General features: G+C 52.6%; 2 annotated features.

Annotated features, from left to right (window-relative positions):
• Positions 12,048-12,581: an enhancer, noted in NCBI's record as "H3K4me1 hESC enhancer chr4:3793638-3794171 (GRCh37/hg19 assembly coordinates)". NCBI's record gives its function as "activates a minimal SCP1, AML or CMV promoter by ChIP-STARR-seq in naive and primed H9 embryonic stem cells {active_cell/tissue: H9 hESC(naive and primed)}" and the evidence as "EXISTENCE:reporter gene assay evidence [ECO:0000049][PMID:30033119]".
• Positions 12,582-13,116: an enhancer, noted in NCBI's record as "H3K4me1 hESC enhancer chr4:3793103-3793637 (GRCh37/hg19 assembly coordinates)". NCBI's record gives its function as "activates a minimal SCP1, AML or CMV promoter by ChIP-STARR-seq in primed H9 embryonic stem cells {active_cell/tissue: H9 hESC(primed)}" and the evidence as "EXISTENCE:reporter gene assay evidence [ECO:0000049][PMID:30033119]".

Genomic DNA, 14,623 nt, shown 5'->3' with positions numbered 1-14,623 from the left:
GGAGTGCGTTTCCTCACGAACAAGGAGAAGGGCCCACGTCACAGAGGCCAGGAGAACTGTCAGCCAGGAAAAGTGTGAGGTGGACATTAGACCAGAAGAGGTTTCAGAGGGTTCCAGGAGGAGATGTTTGCAGTGGAGACTGGAAGAGTGAGCAGGAGTCAGCTGGTGGAGGGGCGGGGGATGAGGGGAGATGGAGGGGGGTCAGGAGCATTTGGATAAACAGGAAGAGGAGGAGGCATCTCTGGTGAGGGGTCTGCAGGGACACACACCTGGCAGTGGGATGTACAAGGTGGGGGCTGTCTCAGGCCAGGAGTCACAGAAGCGGACCTGAGACAAGGGTGACTTCAGGGAGAGCTCCCAGGAAACCCAGGAGGGCATGGCGGGCAGGAGCCCCCGAAAGGGTGTGAACAACCAAGCCCGAGACCCTCCCCACACCTGCACAGCCCCTCTCAGGGGTGGAGGGTGACAGCAATCACTGGTGGGGCAGGAGAGTGGGCAGCTGAGAGCCCACCTGAGAGTGCGGGAGGGGTGGGAGGCGGGATCGCCCATGAACCAAAGCTCCAAACTCTCTATGGGACGTCACTCACAAACACAAAGTCAAAGATAAAATCGTTAGGAATTTCAAGGCGGAGACCTAAAAGCATAAACCCCCAGAACGGGGCCCCTCTGAGCGAAGGGAGGGGTCCTGGGTGAACGCACTGGTCTCACAGAGAGCAACTTTGGAGAGACTGCAGTGCCCATCCCCAAGTGCCCTGACGGGGTCAGGGAGGGAGCTGGGGCATTTGCAGGGCTCCTATCGTCCGGGCTGCCGGGTGGGGGGCTGGGGGAGGAGGGCCACGTCCTGGGCACACCCTGCTCGGTGCGCACAGGGCTGTGGGCTTTCCGGCACAAGGCCGCCCTCGAGCAGGGGAGGCGGGGCTGGCTGTCTGGAGGCTGCACTCTGGGACGGGGCGTGCGTGAAACAGTTCAGAGTCTCTAGAGCATCTGCCGTGTGGCCACAGGAAGCCCCAACATGGGGGGACCCTCAGTCCGGGGGCCACTGCCCTCCTCCTGTTTTCATCCTAATCATGGTCAACCCCTTCATCAAAGGAATCCTGACCAGCCCAGACTTGAGCCCTTGGTCCTGCTCCACCTCCCAGCCTTGGCCGACCCTCAGAGGAGACCCCCGAGCCCCCCACCCTGAATCAGCCCTTGCCACCCAGTGCTGCCACTGTCCCGCCAGACCAGGCATGTCCAGTCCCCGGTGTCCCCAGCCTCCCAAGCTAACAGGACTCTCTGTGGCTGCTGTTCAGCTCAGCTTCCTCAACGCGGGGGTGGGGACAGCCACAAGTCCAGGACCCTTACGAGAGGCCCCGGAAGCCAGTGGGCTTCAGAATTCAGCCTTGACAAAGCCACGTGGTGCCTGTTCTGTGTATTTCACCACACCCATAGGGGGCTGGGCCAGACCGTCCCATTCAAATGAATCCACTGCTCTGCAGCCAAACAACATCCAAGAAATAGAGATCAATCATCAGGCCAGGTTTTGTCACCAAATGAGTTATTAAAGAAAAACACCAAGAAGACATACTTGAAGTGGTCAAAGCTTTGAGGATAAGGACTGGGACCTGTGACGCCCTCTCCAGCCCCTCCCCCAGGGGTCAGCCTTGGATTAAAAGATCCTGGGTGGGCCAAGTTCTGAGCATGCAGTTGGTGCTCACAAGTCAGGGGTGAGACAGAATGTGGCTTGCAAATGGCTTCAGGCTACAGCTGTCTAGGAGAGAAGGCATCAGTGGTCCATGCCTCCCCTGCCCCAGAGTCCAGGACAAAGGTGCTGCTTTGAAAAGGCCTGGGAGGAATGCAGAGGGGGCCCTTATTCTATTACTGCCTGTGGGCGTCTATTTGGTAAGACTAAGTGCCTGCCATGGGTCCTTTGCCACCTTTACCGCTGTTTTCATATGTTCTTCTCCCGTGGAGTTCTACCACCCCCGTCAGAGGCTTGTTTATTGTTGAAGCACAAAGGAGTGGCAGGTGTGACTCGGAGAGAGGCCCAGCCTCACAGCAGGCAGGGAGGGGCCTTCACCTGGGGCTCCTGGGACCCCAGAAAGCCAGGGGTCAGGGAGTATGCAGCAGACTCACGCTTCTCCAGGCTCGGGGGGCCAGGGAGCACGTCACAGAGGCCTCAGCATTGGGGCGTGCCCGCGGCCCGCCCCTGCAGGGTGATGCTGGGTGAGGCGCCCCCCTGCTCTGAGCTTTGGTGTCCTTATCTACAAAAAAAGGAGAGTAAGAATAAGAGGAACAACACATCCCATCCTCCTTGGGGTGCCCCAGGGTTAAGAGATGACACAGAAATGGGAAGAACCATGCGGCAGACTCAGACTCCAGGGCTCTGGGAGAGAGGGCTCTTCACCACCATCTGCTCCATTGACAGGCCAGTCAGCTTGGGGCCTGGGAGGAGCATGGGGATGTGGGGCACTTCCGCTCTGCTGGGGAATGTTAAGCAGCTCTCCAAAGTGGGGGGGCTTCACAGAAAGCCTTCTCCGCTGCCCTTGCTACGGTTGCCAGAGAAAATAAGGGATGCCCAGTTAAACTTTAGTATGAGATGGGCAATGAGTAATCTTTAGAATAAGTATTTCTTAATATTGCATGGGATGTATTTATACCAGAAATGTAGACATTGTTTATTTGAAATTGACGTATAGCTGGGTACCCCGGATTTTTATCTGCTAACTCTGGCCCGCCCATTGTCCAGTCGGGAACTCAGGGGCCGGCAGGGCCCAGCTTCCAGCTACCACAGTACCTGTGCTGAGCAGGGTCTCGATCCTGGGAGGAGTTGGCAGGCAACGTTGTCCCAGACCTCCACCCTGCCCCATGTCTGGCTACATCAGAATTCAAAGATCGAGAACAGAGTTTGGGGTGAGACTGTCTTAGGGCTGGGTTGGCCACTTTAGCTATGGGTCCTCTGGCAAGTGGCTCAACCTCTCTGGGCCTTGGTTTCCTCATCTGCTTAAAGGAGGAGGTGCCGACCTCACTACGGTGCTGTTGGGATAAGCAGCAGCACAGGGCTGTCCTCAGGACCTGGAACTCGGCACACGGGGCCCATCCAGGGACCCAATGGGAGGACCCAATGGAAACCAGACACGATGACATCAGCTCCTTGTAGGATCCTTGTGAGGATGAGCAAAGTCACCTGTGCGTAATTCCTGGATCACAGTTTTGAGTCGTCACCTCCAGGCAAAGGGTGACATGTGTCGTTCATCGCTCATTCACCAGCTACCAGCTTCAGGCACCAGGCAGCTCCAATGCCTGGTCATTGTTTTTGACCGGCTCTTTCCCTAGCAATTAATTTTCACGGGCGGCCGGCAGCCTGTTGCCGACCAACTACTGATAGGAATAAATCAGCGTAGGGAAGATGATGGAGCCTGGGGAAGGCAGGCTTTCCATTCAGATGGAAATCAACTCCCACTCTCCACTCCAGTGCCCTGCCTCTGCCTCTCGGCCCCTCCACAGGGTCATGTTCAGGGAAGGGAGGGCACGGCCCCACCCTCTGTTGGGGCTACCTGCCCTGATGCACCTGCATGGCCCACCAGCAGCACAGTGCCTACCTGAGGTCCACAGAAGTTTCAGGGGCTCAGGAAAATGTTCGAATTTCTTAGAAGTCAGAAGACTAAAATGAACTTTTAGTTTTAGTATGTTTAATTTTAATGTGATGTTTTCCATTTTAGTGTATAATGTGAATATGCACATCTTTCTAAGCTGCTCCACTGTGGTAGACCAGACCTGAGCTCCCTGTGGGCAGGGACATCGGCCCCTCCCTGTGGAACCCCCAGCCAGGGCTCTGCATGCTGCAGAAGGGCATTGCATGCGTGAATGAGGGGCCTAAAGCCACTCTATCAATAGATCCCCTTCTTGCTGGCGTGACATGTGGGAGGAATCACTGTACTGAGCGGCTGGCGGAGCTGTGGCCGTTCCGTGAACCCAAGCCCATCTGAATCCCTCTCGCCCTCACGGCAGAACTGGGAACCCAGGGTTGAGCCTGGCATCGTCTCCAATGTTCCCTGACTTGCTTCGCCTGAGACTGTGACATCTTCAGGAGCAGGTGGTGGCGTCCTCTCCTCCTGCCCCCTGCACCTGGACTGGGGCATAAACTGAAGCACCTACATCCATCTTTCCCATTTCCATATGGGGCTCCACATCCTTCTAAATCCACGAAGGCTTGCTGGAAACCACAAGCCCTGCAAGGGACATTCTGAAAACCCGACCTTTTGTTGCTGTTGTTGTTGAGATGGAGTTTCGCTGTGTCACCCAGGCTGGAGTGCAGTGGTGCGATCTCAGCTCACTGCAACCTCCGCCTCCCAGGTTCAAGCAATTCTCCTGCCTCAGCCTCCCGAGTAGCTGGGATTACAAGTACTGGCCACCACGCCTGGCTAATTTTTGTATTTTTTTGGTAGAGATGGGGTTTCACCATGTTGACAGGCTGGTCTTGAACTCCTGACCTCAGGTGATCTGCCCACTTTGGCCTCCCAAAGTGCTGGGATTACAGGCGTGCCTGGCCTGAAAACCTAATCTTTAGAGGAAGAGCCTGAGGTCAGGGAGGCAAAGCAACTTGCCGCCAAGCTCGATGATTTTAAGCTCTGCTCACAAAGTAAGGCTAATCATATTAATAACATAGCTTCACATCTGCATAATTCTGAGTCACCCACGAGGCCCTTGCACGGTACACAGGCACGCGAGTGGCCTGCGTCAGCGAGGGTCTGGGGGCCAGGTGTGCGGGTGGTGGAGTGGAGGCCGGAGTATCCCCGCCATGATGCTTTTCCCTGAGCTGCGTCACTGTTCACTCCGTGCCTCACTGTCTGCACCTGGAAGGTGAGGCCTGGTGCACAAAGGGCCCGGTGTATGGATGGATGAGGCTCAAACCCATGTCTGGCCGTGTGGGCCAGAGCAGAGGTGTCCTGGAGGCTCCTTCACCTCTGGGTGTCCCTGGAGCATGGATCCTCATCCTGCTGCTGCTGAACCATGAAATCCCCTCCCACGAGCCTCCGTTTCTCTTTCTGGGTGGAGTGATGGAATGCACTTTGCCAGATATCCTTAAAGACCCTGGAGATCGCTTGGCCTGGGCCCGGCCTGTCAGGCAGCCTGGGGAGCCCTGTTCTTTCCCCTTCTCTCGATTTTTCCTGTTCGTTCAAGCCCCTGCTCTCCCTGAATGCCTCCCTCTCTGCCTCTCTTGGCTCAGGAAGAGTTTCTGGAGAGATGGAGAAGAAGTCAGTGCCCAGGAGGAGGTCCCCACAACCTTTGGGAGAGTCTTGTGATTAGGAACAAAAGCTCATCCCTGGGCACCCTGTATCTGAGTCAGTGAGTGGCCCCAGTGGTGAAAGTTGGGAGGAGGAGAGAGGAATCCCTGAGGGCTTCCTGAAGGAGGCAGACTCCTCAGTTTTGGAGTGGGAGAGAAGAGAGTGGTCATAGGATAAGGAGTCCAAGAGTCCCACACGAAGTTGGAATGGTCTCCAAAACTCTGACCAGCACATTTGAAACCGTCTTTGCCAAGGCTAGGTGTCCAGTGACTGTTACACATTTCTGTGAAAGTAAATGTTTATGAGTGATTCACAAAGCCATCCATCACTCACCCAAGGCCCCGTCTGGTAGCTCAGCCCCTAAGGTCTGAGCTGTGCTGGGGGGCGGTGCCCACAGACCCACCTGCACAACCAGCAACCACAACCCAAGCCCAGGCAACTGATCAGGAAAATTCTCCAGTCACCGCCAGGCTCTGGCCAGGCAGGAGCCCAGAGGCTCATGCAAGCGAAATGGATGTGTCTAGAGACCAGAGATTTGGACTACTTGCACACTGGCATGGAGCTGGCCCGAGCAGGCATTAAGTGGATGCATAATTTATCATCTGTCGAGAGCCGAAGCAGCTGTCTGAGACCCCCACAGAGCAGGATGAGAGTCGGGAATTGGGGAGCATCTCCCAGCCAGGAACACGAAATCCAATTTCCATCCTGTCCTAAGGACAAAAAGCTTTCTGTAAACAGCCACACCAAATTCTCAGATCCAATTAACCATGGCCCGGGGGCCTTGCCAAGAGGAAGGGAAATCCAGGCTTCTGAGAGTCCAGCGGCCTAAGTTCTGGGCAGCAGAGTCAGGACCAGTCCCCAGAGGTGGACACCCCACCCTGACTCTGCCCCACCAGCCCGCTGCCTCCAAGAACTTCTGCACGCATAACATCCCTGCCCGCACACCGGTCCTTCCGTCCCGTCTCCCAGACAGGACTCCATGTGCCGCAGGGCCCCAGTCCACCTGACACTCCTTCTCCTTCACCTGCAGAAGGCCTCGGTTCTCGGTTCTCCCCTCTCCTGGGCCCTGCCGCTGTCCCCAGTCACTGCCTCTCCTCTCTGCCTCACTACCCAGGGACTTGTTCAGAAGAGCAGCCCACCTTTGTGGCCTTCCTCTCCCGCATCCGTCCTGGCTGTCTGCCCCTCTGACTCTGGACCCTGAGCTGGCCCAGTGCCCCCAGCCCCTGCACGTTAAAGGCACTCCTGTCCAGGGTTCTTGGCTGCGCAGGGCATACCCACCCCCAACCGCCCCCCAGGCTCCTGGACCACTCCCAAAGCTGCTCTACAGCCTCTGCGGCCCTGCGCGGGTGAAGTGGCTCCTCTGGGCTCTCCCGGGCTCCTTGCCCTGTGACTTTGAAGTCCCTCTCCATTATGGCTTCATGCCCCTCCAAGCTTCTTTAGTGCTGGCTTCACCCCAAATATCCCTACCAAACTCAGAAAGCACCCGGTGCCCACTAGAGGACCACTCCACAAGGCATTGCTGGAAAGCCCACCTTTTCCAAAGCCATCCCACAGGGCAGAGCCCGGGGTGAAGTTAATCACTGTGACACACATGTACATGCACACACATACATGTTCGTGGCCAAATATGAGGGGAAACTGTCTCTTGGAGATTCAGTGGTGCATTAGCAGATTAAAGACTCTGAGAAGTCTGGCAATTAAATGCAACTGTTTAACTTGGTTTAACCCAGTATTTTCTCAAATGCAGATGTCTTTTTGATGGCACATCTATTAGCGCCTTAAGAACGAGTGTTCTATGGGACTCCAGTGTGGAAAATTACTTTACAGCTGGACTTAGGAAATCAAGGCTACAAGTGAGAGAAAACAGCAGATGCTCATATTGTGTATGTTTTGTGCTAGGCACTTTTCAATGTGCTTTACCTATAAGAAGCCTGTTAATCTTCACACCCACCCCAAAAGGTAGGTGCTGTCATTATCCCCTCTTTCCTGTTGAGGAAGCTAAACCACAGATTGCTCAAGTAACATAGGAAGCCAATTGTATCAGTCAGCTTGGGCTAGGTGATGCTGCAGTAACAAACATCCCCACACTCAGTGGCTGATAGCAATCCATGCCTACCTCGCACTCAAGCTGCCTATCTATCATCTTCACTCCAGTGTCCAGGTGAATGGGGCAGCCACCAGGTGGGGTACTGCCCAGGGGAGGAGCCTCGCAGAGAACCTCATGCTTCCCAAGAGAGACACATCACTTCCAGTGGCCTTTCATTGTCGAAAGTCAGTCACATCTCTACTCCTGAGTTCAATGGTGTGGAGGTATAGTTGGGCAGTGAACATATGCAAATGGTCATGTGGGCATTTGAGCCCTGGATGTCTGACTGCAGCCCCTGCTCACATCCACCATGCTCCACAGCACTGGCTCTTAGGTGAAGGACTCTGGTCCTCATGGCGGGAGAATCCCAGTGAGTGACTCTGTGACCCCCCAATTCCCTGTGCAGGACTCTGTCACATGGTCCACACCATTGCCCCCTCTTAGAATGTCCACACCCATCCCTCCCACCAGCTGAAATCACAAGCACCTGCCCAGGTCAATGTGAACACAGTCCCTTCTACAAAGCACTACTCAGTTCTCCCATTGGAGGAACCCACTTCCTACCCTGAACTTCTGTGTCAGTCTCCTGGAGTTTCCTTTGTGCTCTAGCCATTGGTGGTCTAATTTAGTCCCTGCCCCCACTCCTTCCTTAGCCATTGGCTGTGATTCCTTGAGGATAGGGCTCTATCAAGTCCCTCTGACTCCCTGCCCTGTGGTCCTTTCTACTGCAGTGAAGACTCCACGTGACTATGAGAGTCTAGGAGCATGATCACAGCTTTGCAAGACCAGGGGTGGCTTGTCGGTGGGTTCAGTGGGCCCACATATATTGCAAAATAAGTAATTACTGGGCACCTCTATGCATAGCTACCTTTAAGGAACATACAACCTAACTGAAGTAACTCTAAACTATCTAGAAAGTATTCATCAACTTAATAGAAGAGCCAGGACTATGGGGCTTATAAGGACTTGGCAAACCAAGGGTCTGGGGAGGCCAGGGAGGTTTGCCAGGCTGGAGCTGGAGCTGAAAGTCAGAGCCAGCTGCAAAAGGTGGGCAGAAGGAGAAGGGGCTCCCCAGGACAGGAAGCCACTTAGCTTTAAATCACATAAAGGCAGTGGCAGTAACAGCAACACGATGTTGTTAAAATTTGACCTGGGTGAGGGAGTCTATCCCTGACTTGCTCCTGATCTAAGGAGAAAAGCATTCAGTCTTTCACCATTAAGTATGTCAGCTGTAGGCTTTTCATAAATCCCCTTCATTGGGTTAAGGAAATCCCCTAATTCCTACTTTGCTAAGGGTTTTTTTTTTTTTTTTCAGTCAGAAATGGATGTTGGATTTTGTCCAATGCATCTCTGAATCTATTGAGATGGTCATGTGGTTTTTCTTTTGTAGCCTGCTAACATGTTGAGTTACATTGACTGATATTTGAATGTTAAACCAACCTTGCATTCTTGCGATAAAACCCACTTGGCCATGATGTATCATCCTCTTTACATATTACTGGATTCAGCTTGATAACATTTTGTTAGAAAATGTTTACATCTGTGTTAATGAGAGATATTGGTCCCTAATTATCTTTTCTTGTAATGTCTTTGTCTGCTTTTGGTATCAGGGTAATATTAGTCTCATAGGACAAGTTAATATTTATTCTCTCCTCTCTTATTTCCTAGCAGTGTTTGTGTACAGCTGGTATTATTTTTATTGAAATCTTTGGTACAATCCAAACATTGGGGAAGCCATCTGGGCCTGTAGTTTTCTTTGTGGGAAGGTGTTTTACCACAAATCCAATTTCTTTAACACTTACAGTGCTATTCCAGTTACCAATTTCTTCTTTAGTAAGCTTTGATAGTTTGTATTTTTCAAAGAATTTGTTCATATCTTCTAGGAGTCAAAAGTATTGTAAAGTTGCTCATAACATTCCCTATTATCCTTTCAATATCTGTAGGATCTATAGTGATGTCACCTATTTCATTCCTGAAACTGGTGATTTATTTCTTCTTCTTTGTTCTATCAGTCTGCTAGAGATTTATCAGTTTTATTCATTTTCTCAAGTAATTGGTTTTGGTTTTATTGATTTTCTTTATTGTTCTTCTGTTTTCTATTTCACTGACTTCTGATCTGCTCTTTATTTATTTTCTCCTGTCTACTTTGGGTTTAATTTGCCCTTCTTTTGCTAGTTTCCTGAGGTGAAGTCTAAGATCATTGATTGGAGACCTTCTTCTTTTCTAGTCTAAGCATGTAGTGTTATGCATTTCCCTCTAAGCACTGTTTAAGCAACATTCCACCATTTTTAATATGTTGTGTTTTTATTTTCATCCAGTTAAAAATATCTTCAATTTTCCATTTTGATATTTTCTTTAGCCCATGGGTTCTTTAGAAGTGTATCAATTGTTTCCAAAAATTTTGAGATTTTCTTTTGAGATATAATTCTGTTATTGATTTCTGACTTAATTACATTGTGGTCAGAGAACATATTTTGTGTGATTTGTATCATTTCGAAGTTAGTAATACTTGTTTTTATAACACAGAATATGGTCTAATGTCATTGTTCAGTATACACTTGAAAGGAATGTACGTTCTTCTGGTGGTGGTAGCATGTGTATAAATGTCAATCAGGTCACGTTGGTGATAGTGTTATTCAAGTCTTCTATTTCTTTATTGGTTTTGGGCTTACTTGTTCTATTAATTACTGAGAAAGGTGTAGTGAAATCCCAGACCATCATTGTGGAGTTTCTATTTCTCCATTTAGTTATATCCGTTTTATTTATTTTCACTTTATTTACTTTAAGCTCTGTTGTTATGTGCATATACATTTAAGATTGTTCTGTTTTCTTATTGAATTGATCTCTTAGTCATTATGAAATGATTCATTATCATGATTCATCTTTTCATCTCTGATAACATGCTTTCCTCTGAAATGTACCTTGATGTTGTTTTCAAAACTGATTAAAAATACCCTAGCAATCTGTGGTAACTTGATGCCACTTTCCTGGGCATTCTAATGGTGCCAGTCCATGATATCCAACTTTGCCATTTCCTGATGCCCCTGAAAAGGTGGACCTGGGGCAGGAGCCAAGCTTTCCTTTTGTCTCTGTGAAGCCCAACACCTCTGTTGCTTGCTGGAAATGGGGCAGAGGCCCCTTTCCCATTTGCTAGGCCCTGACTGTGAGGCAGGAGAGTCTGAGAGAACATCACTCAGTTCCATTCATCCCACAGGCTCAGAGCCACTGCCTGATGCCAGAGTCGAGGGCACCAAGCACTAAGAGTTAGCCATAGGGCCCCTGGCCAGCAGCAGACAGTGCAGAGGGTCCAGGTGGCTGGTGTCTGCATGGTACAGGGTGGCACATGGGAGGGGCCCCTTGTGCTGGACACTGAAGGATGAGTGAGGTCACCAGGCAGAGGGTGGAGGAAGCAGCACATGTCAAGGGAAGGGCTGAGGGAAGCAGCACATGTCTGAAGGACGGGCTGCAAGATGGCTCTAGGAATAGTGAAGGCTTTGGGATGTCACATGTAACCAGGGTGGCCCTCGCCTCTCTCTTAGCCACACCCACAATGTCCAAATTGGCCTTACCCAGCACATAGCAATCATGTCACCTCCTCCTCTCCCTGCCCTTGGCAGGCATCACTAGTCGATTGTGGCATTATTCCCATGGACCCCAGTGTGCAACTGGAAACCTATTGAACACTGCCAGACTGAAACCCGCTCCCATCACAGCTGACTGTGAAATTAATTTTAACCTGATATTCCAGCTATGGAAAGTTAGAGACAAACGTGAAGGTTTTCCCTGGCTGTTTTTACCTCCCGAAGCTGACTCTGGCCCCAGACCTCACCAAGCCCAGCTGTCCTTGGGAAAGAGGCTGATCTGATACTGCTTATCTATACCAACTCCCGCAAAAAAAAAAAATAATCAGAATGCAAGAACTGAGGGAGAGGCAGAGGGGAGGAAAAGAGCAAAGAGAGAGAGGGAAGGAGACAGAGGAGAGGAGAGTTGAAGAGAGAAGAGTGAGGAGCCCCACGGATGCCTTTGGACACCCCCGATCTGACACTCAGGAAAACCCAGCAGCAACTCTCATCAGGTGGTGGAGAGATCAGCTCTGTTGTGCTGGGAACATGAATTAGACCCTGCAGCGCCCCCTTCAGGCTTGCCTTCCCAGGGCAAGCCCTCTACAGTTCATCAAGAGAAGTCTTTCTTTATGTGGGTCTTTTTGAGAAAAATAAAAACTGAAAATGCTGTCTGCATCTTGCCTTTGGACATGTGACCTGAAGAAATGCTTTATTTATATGTCTAGATGTATACCTGTGCCCACACACCTGCTCCACAGCACACACATGTGTGCATACCACAGGAGTGGGCACAACACCCACCCCAACACACACCTACATGCGCATTCCTCGTCCTCTGATCTGGTGCCCACGACTGCAAACCCATATCAGCTCACGACAATCTCATTTCCTACTGAAATTGAAGGGCTGTCCCTGCCCATGGCTGACTTAGGCTAAGCCAGGATTTATGTTGGAAGGAACAGAGGCATGCAGGACACAGGCATTTTCAGAAATGCACGTACTGAAAGGGCCAGTGGAAGGGTGGGAGCAGATGGTACCCACCAGCCATTCTGCCGACTCACACACATGTTTCCAGCAGGCATTGACAGGGTGTGAGCCTTCTTCCATGAACGGGAAGCTGAGGTAAAGGGTGGTGGGAAGTCTCCTGAATGTAGGGTTGGGGTCTGGGATGGCCCCTTGGTCACCCTATGGTGAGCAGTGCTTCCCCCACTGCTGTGTGCACACTGGTCAACTGGGGAGAACAGTGGCTCCCTTTTGGGCTGGTGGGCCCCCTGACTTAGGAACTCGGGATGTGAGGGGCGCTACCATCATATGTTCCATGTCTCTGCTCCAACTGAGTCCAGAGACGCCAGTGGCTGCCTGGAGCGCCCTTGCCTGCGCTGATGACCTGCTGCCAGGGAGGCCAGGCATGCCTGCGCCTTCAGCACCACCCTTGCGCGGACAGCTCCACTCAGCCTTCTGTGAAGCTCACCTGCTGGTTTGCAGGCAGCTCAGGCACCTCCCGCTCAGCATGGCAGAACCAGCTCCAGACCTCTCCTCATCCTCATGTCTCCCTCCTGCAGCCCCCCATCTCCCTAAAGGGCACCCCCACCTGCCAGGTGCTCCAGCCGTGAGACATCATGGGCGCTTCCCTCCCAAACCCTCTGGCTGTCCCTTCAAGCCTTCAGAGTATGTTGGAGCTGGGGACTAGATGGTGAGGAGCATGAGAGGAAGGGAGGAGACTCCGAGACGCCAACATGTCAGTGTTGGTGGCGGGAGACACCAGGGGCTGAGAGGGAAGGCGAGGGCAGCAGGATGTTTTGGGGGAGCAGGCTTTGGACTCAGCTGTCGGAGGGGCTTGTTGGACAGCCAGGGAGAGGTGTCAGGGTGGTGAGTGGAGGTGCAGGGATGGAGGTCGTTCCCAACAGCCAGGGCCAGGCACGCAAATATGGGGCCCTTGTGTGGTGTGCAGGGGGTCTCAGGAGGAGCAGCACTGAGCTCTGGGGCCCCAACCCCCAGAGGAATCAGCAACTCAGGTGGGGTAAGGGAGGGGCCGCAGGGCCCCAGACACCCAGAAGGAACCTGTGCAGGAGGACAGGGCGAGCATCCAGGTGAGGGCATTCGAGACGCCAGCACACAGAGGTGCCAGGCGTGGTGGCCAGGCTTGGTGGCCCAGGGTTGCTGTGGGCCTTGATAAACGTCTGGCCAGAGGGTACCAGGGAAGGTGAGGGCAGACGGGGCTCAGACAAACCCCTTCTCTTTCAAGAAGACCTGCTGTGAAGAAAAGAATGGCAGAGCCTAGGGGGCCACAGGGGGATGGCTTGTCCAGGGGTCCCGCACTCCCTGGGTACAGCCTCCTGGGTGAAATCCCTAAGAGGGAGCCTGGGCTCCAGACCTCTGTGCCTCAGTTTCCTCACCTGGGGGGTGCAGTAAGAGCTTCGTGTGGGGCTGCAGTTGGCATCTTTAGGGCCTAGGAAGGGTTGATGGGGAGATGAAGGTGGACAAATAGGAATGGCAGTTATGGGAAGGGAGGGTGCAGGAGCTAGGGCGAGGGATAGGCAGGGCATGCCCTTTGAGGGTGGGTGGGAGACAGGCCCAGGCTGTTCCATCCAATGGCCTCTGTCCTCAGGAAACATGAGCAGGAAGGTCAAGACCTGCATGTGCAGACAGGAGAGGAGAGAAGTGTTCTTTTTCCTGGGAGAGGGGAGGAAGGTTTGCCACACAGAACTGTGTGCATACATGTGTGTGTGCATCTATGCGTGTGTGCGTGCACGTATGTGTGTGTGCCTGGGTGTGCATGTGCATGTATGCATGTGTGTGTGTGTGGTCCTAGGTATAAAGTGAAGCCAGCTAGCAGGGCAGGGCAGGGCTGCGTGCATGGAGAGAAAGGGACGGGGAGGGAACAAGGGAGAGAGGAGCACAGAGCTCCAGGTGGGCGGCTGAGGATGTAGGGAAGGAAGCCATTATAGCATCATGATGAGGTGGGAGGAGGGACCCCACACCTGCACTTCCTGGGCCTGGAGTCTTGGGGTGCTCCATTAGAGACACAGCCTCCTCCACAGAAGCTGGCAAGGCAGTCAGAGATCACAGCAACAGGCTTTCCCAGGTCAGGTGGGCTGGAGCAGCTCAGAGGATGAGGGTTCTGGGGGCTTCACCACCCTGAGAGGGCAGCGTGATTGCTGAGCAGGGACACTAGGGGCAGCACCAGGTGCCAGCCTCATGCCAGGTCTACGCCCAAGCCGCCATCTCCCTCTATGGGCCCTGGGGCCATCTCAGAGCAGCTGCAGGAAGTAAAGCTGGCCTGGTCTGGCCGGAACGGTGCTGCCTAACTTAGGAAAGCTCGGACTGAAGTCAGGAGCCAGCCAGGTCCAGCTGTTATGGGCGAGTTACCCCATCTCCAAGCCCAGGTCCCCTGGCTGGAAAAGGGAAAATTGATCCACTCCTGGACGCGTCCATCACAGGCACTGCGCCAGGCGCGAGGACACAGCTGTGGACAAAAGATCCCCAACCTCGAAGTTCATCTTGATGGGAGGGTTATTATCATTACTTTAAATGCCTTTAATTTGAGATTCACTTCCTCTTTGACTCTGAGCCATCTGGAGAAGACTTTGAGATGGAGAGATAAGGATGGCCATCCCATTCTGCACAGGTTGCAGTGTGGACGGCTATGGCTGTAGAAGGCAGCAAGCCAGGTGCCGGCCTCCAGGGATGAGGGCATGATGGGGGTG

This window comes from Homo sapiens, chromosome 4 (assembly GCF_000001405.40).
Source record: "Homo sapiens chromosome 4, GRCh38.p14 Primary Assembly".
NCBI lineage: Eukaryota > Metazoa > Chordata > Mammalia > Primates > Hominidae > Homo > Homo sapiens.
The sequence above is the reverse complement of the archived record's forward strand: the minus strand, read 5'-3'. Positions and strand labels throughout refer to the sequence as shown.